We start from the raw sequence: 2,098 nt of genomic DNA on the forward strand, positions 1-2,098 counted from the left end.
GAAATCTATAACTTTTATATGTTGTATGTAAAGACTTATATGACCTACAGCAGTACAAACCTAGAGAAAAGGTTTGTCTGCTACTTTTCTAGTTCAGGTGTTTTCTCTAAGCTCTTGGTCATACATCCTTACTGAACATGCATTCTCAATGTATATCTATGTATATGCTACTATGTTAGTATGTTGTTTTATGATAAAACATGTACTAAATGGCCAGGTGCAGTGGCTCACCCCTGTAATCCCAGCACTTTGGGAGGCCAAGGCGGGTGGATCACCAGGTAAGGAGGTCGAGACCATCCTGGCCAACATGGTGAAAACCTGTCTCTACTAAAAATACAAAAAATTAGCCAGGCGTGGTGGTGCATGCCTGCAGTCCCAGCTACTTTGGAGGCTAAGGCAGGGGAATCACTTGAACCCAGGAGGCAGAAATTTCAATATACTAAACTAGAAATAAAAAATGAAACAGATAAGTCACATGAGCAGCCATGATACAGAAAGTCAAAAGAGACTATTTTTGAAATCAGTGAATCTACATGTATAGTTGGAGACTTCAACATTAAGCTCTCAACAATTGATAGAATAACATAGAAAGTCAGTAAAGATATAGAAGAATTCAACAACACTATCAAACAAGACAATCTAATCAACATCTATGAAACACTCCACCCAACAATAGCAGAATACTCATTTTATTCAAGTTCTCAGAGAACATATGCCAAGATAGATCACATCTTGGGCCATAAAAGAAACCTCAACAAACTTAAAATATGTGAAATCATACAGTATGTGTCCTCCAACCACAATAGAATCAGATTAGAAGTCAATAACTAAAAAGAAAAGAGAAAAAAAACTACAAACACTTGAAAAATGTACAACACATTTCTCAATAATCCATGAGTCAAAGAGAAAGTCTCAGTAGAATTTTAAAAAAAGATATAAAGTTAGTGAAAATGAAAATACAACACATCAAAATTTGTGGGATGCAGCTGAAGCAACACTGAAAGGGAAACTTATAGCACTAAATGTAGATACTAGAAAAGACAAACAGTCCCAAATCAATAATCTAAACTCTGATCTCAAAAAAAAAAAAAAAAAAAATAGAAGAGCAAAATAAACCCAAACCAAGTAGAAAGAAGGAAATAATAACTGTAAGAGCAGAAACTATTAAAATTAAAAACAGAAACAATAAAGAAAATAAATTAAACAAATAATTATCTGAAAAGACCACTAGAATAAGCAAAACTGCAGCAAGATTGACAAAGAAAAAGAGAAAAGACATAAATGACCAAAATTAATAATGAAACAGGAGGTACTGCAGACTCTGCAAGCATCAAAAGGATCATAATGAAAAATTACAAACAATTGTACACATATACTTTAGATGTGGTTTGAGTGTCACCGGCAAAACTCATGTTGAAATGGAATTGCCAGTGTAATGGTGTTGGGAGGTAGTGACTTTAAGAGGAGTTTAGGTCGTTCAGACTGATTAATGTCTTTCTTATGCACCTGGGTTAGTTCTTGCAGGGAATGAATCAGTTCCCAAGAGTGTAAGTGGTTATAATGCCAGATGGCCTCTCATGCTCTGCCCCTCTGGCACGCCTGCTTCCCCATCCACTTCTCTGCCATGCTATGATGTAGCACAAGGCCCTCATCAGCAGCTGAGCAGATACTAGTGTCATGCTTCTTGGACCTTCCATCCTCTGGAATTGTGACCCAAGTAAACCCATATATATATAATATATTATATATATAACCTGTCTCAGGTATTCTTCTATAACAACACAAGATAGACCAAGAGAACATTTGACGACTTAGTTAAAATGAACTGATTCCTTGAAAAAAACAAACTATCACAACTTACCCAATGTTAAATTGATAATTTGAATATTCCTATAACTATATTAAAAGTTGAATTTGTAATTTAAAACCTATAAAAAAAAATCTTCAGGCCTAGATGATTTCATTCTAGAATTCTTCCAGATCTTTTAGGAAGCAGGAATATCAATTCTACACCATCTCCTTCCGACACAGAAAAGGAAGAAATATTACTCATTTTATCTTACAAAGTTAACATTACCAGAATCAGACAAAGAGATTA

At 34.7% G+C, this 2,098-nt stretch overlaps 1 annotated feature.

Moving 5' to 3' along the window:
• Nucleotides 1,248-1,749: an enhancer, noted in NCBI's record as "NANOG hESC enhancer chr4:16979388-16979889 (GRCh37/hg19 assembly coordinates)". NCBI's record gives its function as "activates a minimal SCP1, AML or CMV promoter by ChIP-STARR-seq in primed H9 embryonic stem cells {active_cell/tissue: H9 hESC(primed)}" and the evidence as "EXISTENCE:reporter gene assay evidence [ECO:0000049][PMID:30033119]".

This window comes from Homo sapiens, chromosome 4 (assembly GCF_000001405.40).
Source record: "Homo sapiens chromosome 4, GRCh38.p14 Primary Assembly".
Classification (NCBI taxonomy): Eukaryota; Metazoa; Chordata; class Mammalia; order Primates; family Hominidae; genus Homo; species Homo sapiens.